This window comes from Homo sapiens, chromosome 2, assembly GCF_000001405.40.
Source record: "Homo sapiens chromosome 2, GRCh38.p14 Primary Assembly".
NCBI lineage: Eukaryota > Metazoa > Chordata > Mammalia > Primates > Hominidae > Homo > Homo sapiens.
Genome location: NC_000002.12, coordinates 24,731,653 through 24,749,459, shown reverse-complemented (window position 1 = coordinate 24,749,459; position 17,807 = coordinate 24,731,653). Strand labels below are relative to the sequence as shown.

At 38.0% G+C, this 17,807-nt stretch overlaps 1 protein-coding gene across 15 annotated transcripts in view; it reads right to left on the bottom strand.

The window, feature by feature from the left end:
* NCOA1 (nuclear receptor coactivator 1) overlaps positions 1–17,807 on the bottom strand; it is a 279,449-nt gene that overhangs the window by 21,243 nt on the left and 240,399 nt on the right. For all 15 annotated transcript variants that reach the window (XM_047446155.1, NM_001362950.1, NM_003743.5 and 12 more), the window contains 2 exons: positions 9,927–10,028; positions 7,274–7,676 (listed from right to left, as the gene is read on the bottom strand). In XM_047446155.1, the coding sequence (XP_047302111.1) occupies positions 7,274–7,676; positions 9,927–10,028 (505 nt within the window). The remainder of the gene's footprint in view (positions 1–7,273; positions 7,677–9,926; positions 10,029–17,807) is intronic.

Below are 17,807 nucleotides of genomic sequence, written 5' to 3'. Positions count from 1 at the left end.
TCTGGCCTTGATTTGTACACACAAACACGCATGCCCGCGTGCGCGCATCAGCTCTCAGCTGAAGACTTGAATGGGACCCTCTGCATATCCTACAATTCTCTGTGTAGTGCTATCCTCTCTGGTATTGTGCCCTGCTACCTCTAGGTGTCTTGGCTTTCCCAGACTGCCAGCTCCACCTCCTCAGCTCAGGGAAATGGCCTGGCTCCTGTTGGATTCTCCCTCCCCGCAGCACAGTCTGGACAATCTCAAGAACTACTGTTGAATGTACTTTGTCTGTTTTTTGTTTATTTGTTTCAGATGGGAAAGTAACTCTGGTCCCTCTTACTCTACTGGCCCAAAGTAGATATCCATTAGAATTTAAAAGTGTAAAAATGTTTTTTAAAAAATGTTTAATGTTTAATGCTAGCACTGTGTTCTTTCTTTCTTTTTTTCCTGACAAAATACATCTCACAGTTAAATACTTTTAAGGAAGAGAAAGTTATAAAGGTGCAGAAAAAAGGATGCCATAGTATGATTGCCCATAATTTAGTAAAATTCCTTTACATCTTTATAAAATCCTGTAACATTCTGTGACCTGCTTGTTTCCCTCAACATTACATCACAAACATGTTTCTATGTCCTTGATGTCACTTTGTGAACACATGCATATATGCCTGTGTAATATCTACTGTGTTCTGTCACTATTAATGTAATTTTTTTGGTTATTTTTAATATAATGATTTTTTTCTCTTTTTACTTGGTTTATTTGGTTAAATAAAAAGAGAAAATCATTATATTTGCCAGAGATGTAGTTAATTTACTCGTTTTTTTTATTATAGGTTACATTTTTTTTTTTTTTTTTTTGAGACCGAGTTTCACTCTTGTTGCCCAGGCTGGAGTACAATGGCGTGATCTCTGCTCACTGCAACCTCTGCTTCAAGCATCTGGGTTCAAGCAATTCTCCTGTCTCAGCCTCCCGAGTAGCTGGCATTATAGGCTCATACCACCACACCCAACTAATTTTTGTATTTTTAGTAGAAATGGGATTTCATCATATTGGTGAGGCTGGTCTTGATCTCCTGACCTTGTGATCCGCCTGCCTCGGCCTCCCAAAGTGCTGGGATTACAGGCGTGAGCCACCACGCCCGGCCTTATAGGCTAGAATTTTAAAACCGTTTTAAATTTTCTGTGGAAGTTGACCTAACTTTAGACTTCACAGTTTTTTCTTTCACTAGATAGGGTTTATTTATTTTTGGTAAAGATTATATAAATGAAGCTACATATTTTCTCCTTGTCGCTTCCTCTATATGTAAGGTAAGTAATTTTGATTTAGAATATATGGGTCTCCATTTTTTTTTCTTTTTTCTTTTTTTTGAGGCGGAGTTTTGTTCTTGTTGCCCAGGCTGGAGTGCAATGGTGTGATCTCAGCTCACCACAACCTCCGCCTCCTGGGTTCAAGCAATTCTCTTGCCTCAGCCTCCTGAGTAGCTGGGATTACAGGCATGCGCCACCACGCCCAGCTACTTTTGTATTTTTAGTAGAGACAGGGTTTCTCCATGTTGGTCAGGCTGGTCTCGAACTTCCGACCTCAGGTGATCCACTTGCCTTGGCCTCCCAAAGTGCTGGGATTACAGGCATGAACCACTGTGCCCAGCATCCATTTTTTTTTTCATTTATGACTCTAGAGGGTGGGTTTTTTGTTTTTGTTTTGCCACCATCTTCACTTCTAATGTCTTTGCATTAACTCTCCATTTTAAACTATTTTGGTTGTGATCCTTAAAAGAAAAACTCTTGTATTAATGTGTTTTTAACCTCATTTATGATGAAATTAATTTCTTTTAGAAGAAATATAGCCTTGGTGTGGTGGCTCATGCCTGTAACCCCAGTGCTTTGGGAGGCTAAGGTGGGAGGATGGCTTAAGGCCAGGAGTTTGAGACCAGCCTGGACAATGTAGTGAGACCCGTTTCTATAAAAAATAGAATAGTTAGCCGGGCACAGTGGTACATGCCTGTAGTTCTAGCTACTCAGGAGGCTGAGGTGGGAGGATCACTTGAGACCAGGAGTTGGACACTGCAGTGAGCCATGATCACGCCACTCCTGGGCAACAGAGCAAGACCCTATCTCAAAAGATTAAAAAAAAAAAAAAAAAAAAAGAGAAAAATAAAAATAAAAATATGTGAGCGGGAAAAGATGCTTATCATATTCTGGATATTACTTTGTGGGGTCAACAGTAAACAATAAATAAGAGACTCCAAGTACAAGAGCAAGCTTTCTGATATTTCTTTCTGGCTTCATCTCACATTCTAACTGTTCATATTGGAATGAACAGTTTCCCTTAGAAGATGACTTTTTTGTGGTTTGTTTTGTTGTTGTTGTTGTTGTTGCTGTTGTTTTTAGTGTTGGTCTTTTAAATTTATTATTTTAAAAAAGACAATTTTTTAGAGAAGCTTTAGGTTCAAAGCAAAACTAAGTGGATGGTACTGAGATTTCCTAACTTTAGACTTTACAGTTTTTTCTTTCACTAGATAGGGTTTATTTTTGGTAAAATTATGTAAATGAAGCTACATACCCCTCCTCCATTCACTCACATGTATAACTGTCCTCATTATCAACTACCCCAGAGTCTATAGGTTACATTACGGTTCACTCTTGGTATTGTACAATCTATGGATTTGGACAAATGTATAATGATATGTACCCACCATTATAGTATCATAGAGAGTGGTTTCATTTCTCTAAAAATCGTCTGTGAAATGACCCAGTTTTAGCAGAAAGAACTAGCCTGTGGGTAATGAATTAGAGGAATACTTAGAGTTCTGGTCCCAGTTCTGCTACACACTGGACCTTGGATAACTTGCATCAATCAGATAATCTAGTTCTTCTAGATGAAAAATTTTACAGTTCTATCTTTGCCTAGACTATGTTTGTTTTTGTTTTTTTAGACAGAGGCTTGCTCTATTGCCCAGACTAGAGTGCAGTAGCGTGATCTTGGCTCGCTGCAACCTCCGCCTCCTGGGTTCAAGCAATTCTCCTGCCTCAGCCTCCCGAGTAGCTGGACTACAGGCGCCCACCACCACACCCAGCTGATTTTTGTATTTTTAGTAGAGATGGAGTTTCGCCATGTCGGCCAGGCTGGTCTCAAACTCCTGACCTCAGGTAATCCACCTGCCTAGGCCTCCCAAAGTGCTGGCATTACAGGCGTGAGCCACCGTGCCCAGCTGGGCTAGACTATGTTAAGTTTCCCTGCTAGACCAACCATAACTAGCATTGCAGACATGTGACAGTGGCAACTAGAATTAGAATTCATACTTTCATTCATTTATTTCTTCAAAGATTCATTAAGCATCTATTCACTGTGAGACCACTGTGCTAAGCACTGGAGAAACAATGGTTAAAAAGGTCACACTCTGCTCACGTAAGGAACTTGCTATTTAAAAAGAAAGGCAGCTAGGTTAACAAGTGGTTTTAAGACAGGGTGTTGACTACTTTATGATTGGGAGTGTCCAGGAAGACTCTGCAGAGGAGATATATCTGAGAGGAGGGAAGAATAGGAATGAGAAGTAAAGGAAGAATACTTTAGATAGAGTATAGACAATGTTCAAAGCCCCTGGAAGTAAAAGAGAACAAGGTCTGTGCTGTTTCTCGGAACTCAGAGTTTACTGTAGCTGGAACACAGAACTATAAAAGGGAACATGGAGTTGATGAGTCTAGGTTTGTACAAGTTAAGTTTGGGGTGTTGGTGGAAAATGCAAGTATATGTTTCCAGTAGGCAGCTGTACATATGAGCTGAGAGATACTGTTTAGAGATAGAGAATAAAGTCACTAGCATGTAAAGGTCCCTGAAACCCCAAAAGGAGAAGAGATCACTGAGGAGGAATAGGTGGAAGAGGATTTTATTGTAGTTCACAGAAAAGAAGTCTCTAAATGGGCTTGAAGGAACCCATGAAGTGGGCAGATACACTAAAGAAACCAATTTCTCATATTTACTTTGAATACTGCCTTAATAGAAAACAATTTCTGGCCAGGCACGGTGGCTCACGCCTGTAATCCCAGCACTTTGGGAGGCCGAGGTGGGTGGATCACGAGGTCAGGAGATTGAGACCATCCTGGCTAACATGGTGAAACTCCATCTCTACTAAAAATACAAAAAAATTAGCCGGGCGTGGTAGTGGGCGCCTGTAGTCCCAGCTACTCGGGAGGCTGAGGCAGGAGAATGGCGTGAACCCGGGAGGTGGAGGTTGCAGTGAGCCGAGATCACGCCACTGCACTCCAGCCTGGGCGACAGAGCGAGACTCTGTCTCAAAGAAAAAAAAAAAAAAAAAAGAAAAAAGAAAACAATTTCTAAAGTCTGATTCTGTTCTTTTACACTCATTATCATAGCATGGTAGTCTAGAAAAGTTTCTTGTTTTCAGAAATACCAGAAAACTTACTCTGCCATTACTATGACTTTCATGTTCCTTCATTTACTTTGGGCCTACATTAAGTGGAAAGAGGCTAAGGCAAAGGATATAAAGCAAAGCTAATGCAGTTATCCGTTGGTTTTACTGTCATCACTTAACACAGAAATCAGCAAGCTTCTTCTGCAAAGGGCCAGATAATACATGTTTTCAGTTTTGTAGGCCATAAAGTTTCTTTAACTACTCAACTCTTCTATATGAAACCAGCCATAGATAATACATAAAGCAGTAAGTATGGCTGTGTTCCATTAAAACTTTATTTACCAAAACAACTGGGCTGGATTATGGACCTTAATTTGTCAAACCTGGAAACATGTTGGAACACATATATTTTGGTACTTTTGTATGGCCGATTTCTTAGGAATAGAAGCATAAAACCAACAAAGGCCAAAGAGCCTTTTTATCTGGATTTCCTTAAGCCACAATAAACTGTTTTTGTTTTGAAAAGGCTGGAACTTTTCCAGAACTTCATTTTGTGCCAACACAAAACCTGGTCCTCTACCAGACTGCTGATCAATTTGGAGCAAGTTTATAATTAAGAGTGGTGACAGAAATTAAAAACATTGCATCTTTAAACATTCTTACTCTGTCCAGAAAAGTTAAACATTTTTCCAGTATTATTTTGAAGCAGTCCATGGAAGAACTGACAGCCCTGCCATTTCATTTCAGTTTGCAACTGGATGAAACCACTGTTCTCTTCAATGCACTCAGCATTTGGGTTTTGTTTGTAGTATGAATGCTGACTTTATAAAAAGCAAATTCTTATTTTGTGAAAATATTTTTGTCAATCAGAAGTTGGTCTGGAAGAAAAACCCAGGCACCAGATACTCATGATAGGTGGCAACACATCTTTCCCATTATGGTACGGGGAAAGAGGAAGCTCCACCCACTCCATTATTTCAGCTCACTTTGTTCTATGCTGACACAACTCAGATCAAAAGGCTAGACCCAGAACTGTGAAAGAAACTTGTCAATTTCATGAGAACCGGGGCACTGAAGGACCGCCTTTCCAGGTGGCTTTGTCAAGGAATGAAAGCAGAATATAAAGTTCTCCTTTCTTGACTTTCCAGAGGAAACTTAAAAGTACATGCCTGAAAATGGACAGAAATACTATTTCTATTTTTTAATAGAAAAAATCCTTAGAATAATTTCATGAGGAATTTATTAATGTTTGGCTTACTTCTAGTTAGCTTTTTCCCCTAATGCATGAGATAAATCTTTTGATTTAGGGCTCTGCAATTAATATTATGAATGCTGCTAAAAACCCATTTGCTGTTTTAGTCAGGTTGTCATTTTGGAGGAGGAATGGGGATGCAGATGACTACACAAGTCTTCTAATGTTGGAGGAAGTACTTCCACAGGCTAAAGTGAAAAAGCTTTGTCAAATTCTCTGCATACAGAAATTGTAAGACACATGGAAATAAAACTCTTTTGAAGGCCATACTCTTGTTCAGGCAACCATATAATTAAAATATGGATTTATAATCCTTTTCTCGCCCACACAGATAGTGTCACTGATATAAACCAGCCAAAGATGACTTCATTGTCTTGAGGACAAAGAAACTGATGTGGCATAATTTTGATTAAAATCTCTTTAGAGTTCTGGTGCTCTCTGGCACAAGTCTTTAGATACTTAATTTGATAGTCAAAGGATTTTAGTATTTGCTACCATCAGAATGGAAACTCTAAATTGATTTGGCTGTCAAAACTGATAAGCATACTGCCATGTCAAAAATCTCTGTATAACTTTGACATTTTATTCAAGTCAAACAGCAGCTTTCTCATTGAAATTCATTTTTAAGCAGCCTTAAAATTTACCTCTTTTCTTTCATTTATATAATCAAGGGATTTATTTCAATTATTTTTCAGGAATTGACAATTAATTTTGCATAAAAGTTTGATTAAACAGAGTAGACTAATCAGATGTTCATCACTGCCACTACCTATCAGAACCTGAAAGTGACAGAAAAGAAATAAGAAAAGATATTATCACCCAGGACAAAGAGAATGGAAGACAGTGCCAAAGAAAGACTAAAAAAGAAAAAAGCTTTTGGAAGCCAGAAAGTTGACTGACATTGGAGAGGAAGCTGCAACAGCAGCAGCTGAGAGTGATGACACCAATGAGTAGTCTGAGATACTCTGTGGAGATAAATTATTCTTATGCAAACTGGCAAAAACAAAATCTCCCACACAATGAAAAAACTACATGCGAATTTTGAATTAATGTACTAAAATCCATTGTGTGGGGAAGACTTTCATTGAATTCTCATAGAGATCAATGAGAAAAATTAAAAAATAAGAGAATGGGCCGGGTATGGTGGCTCACCTGAGGTCAGGAGTTCAAGACCAGTGTGAGCAACATGGTGAAACCCTGTCTCTACAAAAAAAAAAAAACAAAAATTAGCTGGGCACGGTGGCACATGCCTGTAATCCTAGCTACTCGGGAGGCTGAGGCAGGAGAATCGCTTAAGCCCAGGAGGTGGAGGATGCAGTGAGCTGAGATTGCACCATTGCACTCCCAGCCTGGACAACAGAGCGAGACTGCATCTAACAAAAAAGAAAAAAAAAAGGGGGAACGTACTTTGCATACAAAATGCTCAAAAGGTCCTTACAGATCCTCTAATTCAATCATCTCAGCTAAAAAAGGGAGATAAGCCTCAAACCAGTCAACCATTTAGTGTCAAAAGCTGAGTCTGAATCCTGGGTCTCCAGACTCCCACGTCAGTGTCTTTCCTCTTCCACACACTATTTTAATGTCCAAGCACAGACATAAAGATGGAGAGAGACCTAAGCCTGTATGGATTACTTAGAACAACATAAAGTTGTGACCTTCCTACCTGCTCCTGGATACTGGAAGACATTCTGCTGCATCTGAGGATTGATTCCAGTGCCAAACTGTCCTCCTATGTTTCCTGTCATGCCTCTGCTCACCATGCTGTTGCGGTTGGCCAAGGATGCTTCAGGATTTGCTGCTAGTTGTGAAAACGGGCTGGTAGAAGCAGGTGGGGTTCCTGGATTTGTACCATAGTTTGGTGGATAGGGGAATTGCTGTGGAGCACCCTGAGGAAGACGGGGGTTCCCCATTTGAACTGGTAGTCCAGATGAGGGAGGGAGGTTGTTCCCAAAGCTTTGCTGCCTCATAAGCATGGCTCTTTGCTGCTGTATTAGCTGCCTCTGTCGGTGCTGTTGACTGTACAGTTCCCGCTGACGTTGTGCCAACATTTGAGCATTCAGGGGTGGCTGAAAAGCAGGAAAAAACTCACTTACTAAAATTATTATAATCACTATCTATCCTGGAAAGTTCATTGGATTAAGGCCTACTTGCTTGGGGCAATAAAGTACATAGCAATTATCACTGTACAAGGGAAACTAAAACAGAAAAGGAACAAAAACCTCTTAAGTAACAATCACAGGAGAAAAAATGAATTAAGTATATTTTACAGATTAAAAGTAGTCAAGAAATGCTAAACAATATCTGACCATTATAAATGAGAACGCAAATTCTCAATGAAAAGTCACACAGAACTGAAAAATTCAAAGAAAGTATGTATTGATTAGTATTATAATATTGGCCATGAACATTGTTAAGAGAAACATGAAGACCATAAGGAAGTGAAAGAAAATGTGCTTGATGACTTCTGTCCTATCCTTCATTAGATCATTAGAAGACTTTTTCAATTCCAAAAAATTTACTGTGTTTCTGGTAAAGAGAAACTTAGTTTTTCCACTTTTCTCACTGAGAACATTATCCCAGTTTATTTAAATGAATAACATGTGATTATAGGTGATTTTAATTTTCATTATACTTTTCTATATTTACCAAATTATTACGATGAACATGTACTACCTTTACAATTAGAAAAAACCTACAAATACCATTAAAAAAGGAAGATTCTGAAATCTAGGATCCAATGCCTAAGAAATTATCACTTAAAAAGAAAATAAGTAGAAATAAAATAGTAAAAAGAAATAAATGGAAACAGCTATTTTGTATTATTATTGGAGTTTCAGATTATTCCAGGCATTAGTGTAAGTGGTTTCAGTTATAATATTATGGATGAGGAAAGAAGTGGTCAAATTAGCTTAAAATCATTTTTTCAATGTAACATGGCATATCAATAAAGCCTTCTTCAGAAAATGTCAATTCAGATTGAGAATCTGGTTAAAGCATACAGCTCTTGCCAACTACATATAGTCTAATCTAGAAGAAACTATGAAATAAGACTTTCTGATAGGAATTATCTTTATGTGAATCCAAAAGTGGGGTCTTGTTTCCTTACAACCTAATTACTCCTGAATTAGCTAGCACTAAGATTTATAATTTGTAAGACAGAGAAACTGAAATCTGGATCCATGAAGATGTCAATATCTGCTGCTTACCAACAACTTCAGTCAATACAGTCATGTGATGCATAAAGACATTTCAGCAATAAGACATTTTAGTAATAAGACATTTCAGTTGCACACAATGGACCAAATTCGGTGGTCCCATAAGATTATAATACTACAGTATTTTACTGTACCTCTTCCACGTTTAGGTATGTTTTGATATACAAATACCATAACAATTGTCTACAGTATTCAGTAGAGTAACATGCAGTACAGGTTTATAGCCTAGGAGCAATAGGCTATACACATAGCCAGGATGCTAAGTAGGCTATACCATGTAGGTTTGTGTAAATACACTCTATGACCTTTGCACAATTATGAAGTTGCCTAATAACACATTTTTCAGAACATATCCCTGTCTTTAAGTCATGCATGGCTGTATTTATCTCTTTAATAATACAGGTGCTGGCTTTATTTGCTCCTAATCCATCTAGTTCCATATTGTGGAGAGGAAAAGAGTATTGTTTAAATCCTCTCTAAAATTCCTTATCTCCAAGATTTTTACATCAACTTTGTTATGAAATAAAAGTAAGTAGTTGAAACAAAAAATTTTTAGGTATGTATGGGGTAAAGTAGAGAGTGAGTACTAGGTAACATTTAGAAGTCCACCTAGTTCTTTTTATGTTTAAAGTTCTAATGGCTCTGGGTTTATTAAAAAAAAAAAGGGATTTAAAAAATAAATACAAGCTAGAAAATGCTGATGTTCAAATTGAACATAGTACACAAGATAGTTAAGACAGCTTAGCAATGTGACTGGGTTTTGATCAGGTTTCGGGTACCGTTCACACAGTTTCGTATCAGAGGCTTCCTGTTACTGGTGCTATTCGCTACAGAAATAAGAGTTTTTTCTACTTAGTCATCTGGTATCCAATAACAATGACAATAATAACAATAAAACAAAACAAAGCACCATTTGCTTTAGATCAAATATCAGTAAGAGGTATCAAAAGTAGATTATTAATTCATTCTCAAAGAAAACTACACTACAAACATCATTAAAAGATCAGCTCACAGACCATTTCAAAGACACTCAAGTCAACACTTTAAGAAACACTATGTGGGTTAAAGAAGTACTAATGACGTCTGGTTTTCTCACATTACCTGAGGTGTAATTTGCTGTTGCATGCCTGATCTCATATTGATGCCAACAGGAGCAGTTGCTGCAAACTGGTTTAAGATAGCTTGCCGATTTTGGTGTATCAACTAGAGAAAAATGGAAACAATAAGATATATTTCTACACACAAGCATAACACGGGCCTTATAAAGTAACACAAACTTTCTATTGATTACTAAAAAGTTTTAGTGTTGCAGGTTTGGTTAGATTATTTCCTATGTTTATTTTCCAAAAGGCTAGTAGTTCCCAATGTTTATAAAACACTTATTGCCTCCAAAACACTATGGCAAAGTATTTAAAAGTAGGATACAAACACACTGCACTCCAGCCTGGGTGACAGAGCGAGACTGTCTCAAAAACAAACAAACAAACAAAACAACAAAAAAACATGTTAATAGTTATTTTAGATAAGTGCTGCAATGGGGAAGAAGAAGTACCAGCCCTAGGTCTTAAAATATTATAAATGTAAAAGCAGGTATACAGTAAGGGCACATTTTACAAAGGTCTGGAAGATGAAGGGAAAGTTGAGCAAGCTGGATGGTATTCTCACTTGGAGGTACTATGTCTGGTGGATACATATTTGGGGAAAATCCAGTATGATTTCATTAGCTAGACAGTATTATGTAAGAAACAAATGGTCTGAAAAAATGGATTATTTATTTAACTAGAAAAAGTAATTACTTTAGACCAGCATTTCCCAAATTGGTATGCTAAAGAACAATGCTAAAGAACATTGTTCTGCAGGATATTAATAGATGTGCTGGGAAAACAGCATGCTGTGCTGTATTAAGTACTGGAAATGATGGGTTACACAAGGTAAAACAGATTTATTTACTGCAGAAATTTTATAAGCCTTTAATTGGCCAAAAGCACATTGTGGATCGCCAAGAAGGGATATACTATGCAATTTATTTATCATGAACCTTTTTTTCTAACATCTAACCATTAATATCTATCTCTCAGAACAATTTTCTGTGAATACTGGTTTGGAAGATCAGTCTAGACCAGGATTAGGGTTCCAGGTCATAGGCATGCCAGGCATGCCTTAACAGTATCTGGTAACAAAAGAAGTATTCTTGGAAATGAGATTTTCTTGAAAACAATGTATAGCTTAAAACATTTCTTCTTCAATAATTTCATATGAATAAACTATTCCGGAAGATAACAGTAACAATAATATTAATACTATTTTATGTTTATATACTTTGTAAAACACAAATTATATATACTTATATATCATAAATATATTTCAATATATTATACATAAACTAGAAAGCCTACGAAAGTTTTATAAGAATCCAAAGAGCTATGAACAGTGATTAAATCTCTTGTCATCAAATAGCTCAACTCTTAATTCTAACTTCAGTCATTTTCTCACTCCCATTAGATCAGAAAACAAACCAATTTTGGGGAAAAGCTCATTATAATATAAATGTTAAAATGACAAATCTAAGGCATTGTGGAATAAGTTAAAACTTTTTGAAGTTCTGAGTCACTTCAAAAAGAAAGATACCAACTTTATAGTTTTAAAAGTCAAAAAGACTCTTAAATACCAAAACTGATATACTTCTTAAACTTGAAAGACCAGGAACATAAATTTAGATAAACCAAGTTAATTTTATAAAGATTTACTTAAAAACTCAGTACATTCAAGATACTGTATAAAGTTTGGAGGTTACAAAGGTGAGCAAATTCCTGTCCTTCTAGGAGTTCCGTTCCCTATTGAGTGGCAGAAGCCAACGCACAACAGTAAAATGCACAGGTGCTTTGTCTGCATAGACGGACACATCTACGGCAGCACAGAGGGAGCAACTCATTCAGTCTAGGGATGAAGACAGGGACCAAGAAGCATGAGTGAGCTCAGCTTGCATTCATCTTGAAGGATGAGAATGCAAGGTGGCAAGGAGGAGGGCAGAGTTAACTTGAGGCAGAGGGAACAGCAAGTAAAAAAACAGGAGAGGAGGCAATGAGGCCAGGTAAAAATACATTCCAAACATATAGCTTTATATATTCTTTGAATTGTGAGATAATGTACAAATGAAATGGGTAGGGATGGAGGAAAGATGCCTGACAAGTAGTAATAGGCTCTTTTTTAGAAGTAGAAGGAATTATTCTAAATAGCATAAATCTACAAGTACTTTCTGTTATAGGAAACCTGGTCTATTTCTGCCCTTGAATTAACCCTTGTTCATTTTTTCCTCCCCTTGACTATCTGTGTGTGCAACCTGACTAGTGCTGTGTACACCTGTCTTATTTTGACCTGCCTCTTCTCTCCAATTATTAAAATGCTTTGTTTTTCAACAAGTAGGTCAAGTTCCACTTCTTCCAACATAGCCTTCCCAAAAGGATCGCTACATTCCTCAGCTCCTTGGAAATCTTAACTTTCAGAGAGGTGGGGAGTGGGAGGAGATTAGTTGTTAGTCCTTAGACACAAACACAGGTTAAAAGGCTTGTTGTAGAAGAAAAGGAAATGTGGGGCTTGTGGCCAGCGGAAGAGGGCAAACCCATTCCTAAGTATAAAATAAACACACACAGTTCAGGCTGGCTGTCACTTTGTCTGCCGGAATGGATTTTCTTCCCAGTGCTTTACCAAGAAGTCCTCCTATAGGAAACCTAAAAGATGATTATCTAGCCTAGAGGTTCTCAACTAGGGGTGATTCTGCCAAACAAGGGACATCTGGCAATATCTGAAGACATTTTCGCTGACACAACTAAGAGAGGAGGTACTGCTGACGTCTCGTGGGCAGAGGCCAGGAATGCTGCTAAACATCCTTAATGCACACAACATCTCCCCCATAACAAGAATTACCCAGCCCCAAATGTTAAAATGCCAAGGTTGAGAAACCCTGAGCTAGCTACTGCACAAATTCTTGCAAAGACAAAAGTATTCTTTAAAGAAACTTATTGTCCTATTGGGCATTTTTCATTGCCAGAAACCTGAAGGTAAAATGTTTCTCTCTTTTTTTCTGTCCTTTAATCCTAATTCTGTTTTCTGATCACTTCTATTCTCTATAATATATAAAAGATGATCAATAGTGGTTCTTATAATGTCAGATACGTACATTTGTTCAGTACCCTAACACATACGTATCTGGACTTGACTTGTTTTAAGATTGCTAAGTATACCATATTTGTTTATGTGTCTCACTGTCACTTTCTCTTTATATTATTCTCCTCTTGATAGTTATGAAGATCATGATCCTTGCTGGGGAAGAAAACAAAACTGGAGTGGAAAAATCGTATCTTTTGTCAGCTAATGATACCATTTTCTTTTTCTTTTTCTTTTTTTTTTTTTTTTGAGACGGAGTTTCACTCTTGCTGCCCAGGCTGGAGTGCAACAGTGACATCTCAGCTCACTGCAACCTCCACCTCCTGGGTTCAAGCGATTCTCTTGTCTCAGCCTCCCAAGTGGCTGGGATTACAGGCATGTGCCACCATGCCTGGCTAATTTTATATTTTTAGTAGAGACAGGGTTTCTCCATGTTGGTCAGGCTGGTCTCAAACTCCCGACCTCAGGTGATCCACCTGCCTTGGCCTCCCAAAGTGCTGGGATTACAGGCATGAGCCACTGTGCCCAGCCTATGATACCATTTTCTAAAAGCAGCAGGTCTACCCATTTTTGCTGTTGTTCTTTTTCCCAAAATAGAATTTTAGAAGTCCTTTACTGATATTACGGATATATTTCTTGGGTCTTTGCTTATTTGAGGAGTAAGCGGGTATTACACCTAAAGGCTTGTAACTTCGTATTGCTTTTTAATCATCAGCTCCTTCCTTCTTGTTGCTCTTTTTAAAAATCTCAACCAATACAGATACACTAGTTTCCTAGGATGTTTTTCATCTCTCTCCTCCCAACTGGGGATTTATTCATTACTGTGTAATTGAATTTAAAATGTTACAATCTTTTTACTCCTTTACACAAGGAGTAAAAAGTATATACCAGCCAGTGAGATATACTCATGGCCAATAAATGATATCTATTTATATATATATATTTTTTCAACATCTGTTTTTAAACTGACCTTAAAATTCACCAAAAAGAAGGAAACTATAATGTATATCTGAGTACACCCGTTTTCTTTTCTCAAATCACTAGGCATGGTGCTAAATTCTTGCTATGAGATGCTTACAGTCTCCTGTATTTGGGAAGAGGGAAGGAGAGGATATGACCAATAAGCGAACAGATGGGTGGGTATCAATCCAATGAGGTAAATATATTATGAATAGCAGATTACAAACTGGGTGTATTCTGGACACTAGTCCTTTGCCAGTCATATGGGGTTGGAAACATCTTCTTTGAGTCTTTGTCTTGCCTTTTAACCTTGCTTATGGTGTCTTTTGTCTTCTAGGTCGTAAATTTTAATGTAAACATTTACTTTTTCCTTTATGTCATTTTAAAGAGGCTACAGAGATATTTTCATATTCACATTTAGGTCACTAAAACACTTAGAGTTTATTTTTGTGTCTTGTATAAGATGAGGATCAAATTTAATTTTTTCCTCCTCATGAACAGCCAAATGTACCAGCATTTATGATGCACGCCATTCTTTCCCCATTGTCACCTCTGTCTCTTATTAAGTCTCTCAATATGTCTGGGTGTGTTTCTGGGCTTTCTATTATGTAGAGCTATTATGCAGAACCGTCTATTATGTAGAACTCTATTATGGTAGAACTATTTATCCTCATGCTAGTTCCACACTGTTTTAATTTTTTTTTTTAGAGACAAGGTCTTGCTCTGCCACCCAGGCTGGAGTGAGTAGCACAATCATAGCTCACTGCAGCCTTGAACTCTGGCTCAAGAGATCCTCCCAACTTAGGCTCCTAAGTAGTTGGGACTACAGGTGCACATCACCACACCTGGCTTTTTGTTTTTTGGTTTTTTTTATTTTTGGTAGAGACAGAGTCTTGCTATGTTGCCCAGGCTAGTCTCAAACTCCTAACCTCAAGCAATCTTCCTGCCTACGCCTCTCAAAATGGGGGGGTTATAGGTGTAAGCCATCACATCCAGCCTGGTTTAATTTTTAAAGCTTTGTTTTAAATCTTGATATCGGTAGAGCAAGTATACCCTCATTTTATTAATACTTCAAGATTGTATTGATGCTTCTAAAACAAATTTAGCATCTATTTGTCAAATTCCATGTTGAGATTTTATTGGAATTCCACTGAATTTACTGATTGAATTTGGAACAACTGTCATCTTTTTACAAGCGACAACCAATTAGGAGACATAATTTCTTTCATGAGTATTTTTTTTTGGATGTTCTTTTTGCCTTTCAATTATGACTTCCACATCTTCTAAGTTTTGAACAGTGTGAATTTCTTTTTTCTTCTTTTTTTTTTTTTTTGAGATGGAGTTTCGCTCTTGTCACCAAGGCTGGAGTGCAATGGCACAATCTTGGCTCACTGCAACCTCCACCTCCTGGATTCAAGCGATTCTCCTGTCTCAGCCTCCTGAGTAGCTGGGAACACGCCACCACACCCAGCTAATTTTTGTATTTTTAGTAGAGACGGGGCTTCACCATGTTGGCCAGGCTGGTCTCGAACTCTTGACCTCAGGTGATCCGCCCACCTCGGCCTCCCAAAGTGCTGGGGTTACAGGCGTGAGCCACCGTGCCTGGCCTGAATGTATTTTTAATTAATTTTCTAGTAAAAAGAATTGCCATTAATTTTTGTTTCTTGTTCTTTTATCTAAAATCCTTGCTGAACTACTCTATTTGTTCTAAGTTCCCTATAGATTCTTTTGGATTTTCTGTTTTTTGTTTTGTTTTGTTTTGTTTTTGAGATGGAGTCTTGTTCTGTCACTCAGGGTGGAGTGCAGTGGCACAATCTTGGCTCATGGCAACCTCCACCTCCCAGTTTCAAGCAATTCTCCTGCCTCAGCCTCCCCAGTAACTGGGATTACAGGCATGCACCACCATGCCCAGCTAACTTTTGTATTTTTAGTAGAGATGAGGTTTCACCATGTTGCGCAGGGTGGTCTTGAACTCCGGAGCTCAGGCAACCCACCCGCCTCGGCCTCCCAAAGTGCTAGGATTACAGGCGTGAGCCACTGTGCCCGGCCAGATTCTTTTGGATTTTCTATATAAATAGTTGTATTATTTGCATATAATTTTGTTTCTTTCTCATGTTTGCTTTTTTTGTATTTCAAAATGACTTAATTTTTAGTGCGCTAATGGTGTTCTTTTTTTTGTCTACACTGACATGAACTTAGTCACAGACACAAAAAATACAACCTGTTATTTAATAGGATTTAAGGCAGGAGAAAGGGGAGATATATTAATACTACCTCAGTTCACTATTTTATCCCAACTGTGAATTTAACTATATAACTTTAAACAATATATTTAAACCTCAATTTCTTGATTTAATCAGGCACTGTTATTGCCAACCCGCAGCCATTTACTCTCCCCTTCTTTCTTGAAGACAGAACAGATTTTGTTCAGCTGACCATCCCAAATCACACAACTCCAGGGGTAATCCAGGAGTATTCTCAGTCAGTCTTTGCGAACCATTGGTTAAGGGTGTACATGTGACTCAGTTCTGACTAGTCAGACATGTGAAGTATTTTTTCCCCCTTTTTACTTTTTTTTTTTGTTCCTTTTTTTCTTTTTTTGGCGGGGGATGGGGTGGGAAGACCTTCTGGAAAAAGTTTCCTGGCTTTTGGAAAGAGGTACATAGGAAAGAAACAGTCCCTTTTCTTCTGCTAGTTATAGTTTTGTTTGCCTACGGTATTTGTAATCATGGCATGCCAAGGATTGCAGAGCAAAAAGAGAAAGAACCTGGGTCCTTGATAACATCCCTGAATCTCTGAAGTAACCACACCTTGGTCTGCTTTCATTTTGGATTGTCAATTGGGTCAAAATATTTTCTTTATTGTTTTACTATGCTGAGTTGATCTTTTTTTCTTTCCTTGTGGCTGAAAGCATCTTAACCAAGACACTGACTGAGAACCTTGGCCAGACCTGCTCACAGAAAGCCCTTAAGTGGACACATGTAAAACTCCTAGTACTTGCAGTGCAAGTGAAGCTGAGCGACCTAGTGCTGAAACAGTAAGAACTTATGGCTTAAAAGAGAAGGAACAGGCCCCGATATGTGGCTCGTTAGGTAGCAGAGTTACTGTCTTAGTTTGCAGTAGAAGTTGTTTTTGCGTATAGACATACATGGGGCTTATAACATGGTGAGCCCCAAATTCTGTGTTTCTTCAACTTGGTGGATACTTTACTCTGTTAGGTTACCATGCCATCTCTGGATAGGCATCCATGAGATTTAAGGGAAGCAAAGAGCAGCAACTTTCACTTATTTGCATCTTATTCTCATACCTTTGCAGGGCTTCTCTGCTTATCAGCTGTTTTAGGAGCAAATGGAAGCCAAAACAACTTTTTTTTTCTGAATCAAGCATGAATCATCATTCCATTCATTCATGAACCTGACCTAGACCCTTGGTCTGGCCTTGCTCATTGACCCTTTAATATTAGGCAGTATTTACAGAACTTTACATTGTAAAATGAGAAACTAGCACACCTACACTTTCCTTTACTTTTTTGGTTTAGCCCTTAATCACATACTGCTTGCAGCGTCACTTAACTTTTCAGGTATGTAGTCAAAATGGTTTTCAGGTCTTGTAGTCAAAAAGCCAAGCAGTTGCCTGTTTCTTTTATTCCTTGTATTCCTTATAGTACCTAGTGTAGTCCCCTTAAATATGTTCTGTGAAAAATTAAACACGGGGAAACTGTTAAGCATTTCTTATTCTGGTGCCCTCTATCTAAAGATGAATGGAAAGCTACAAGAAGTAGTTTATCTTCAATTAATATCTCAGAACATTTATGATTCCTTCTCTTTCTCTTTTCCTCTCTCTTCCTTTAATTCTTCT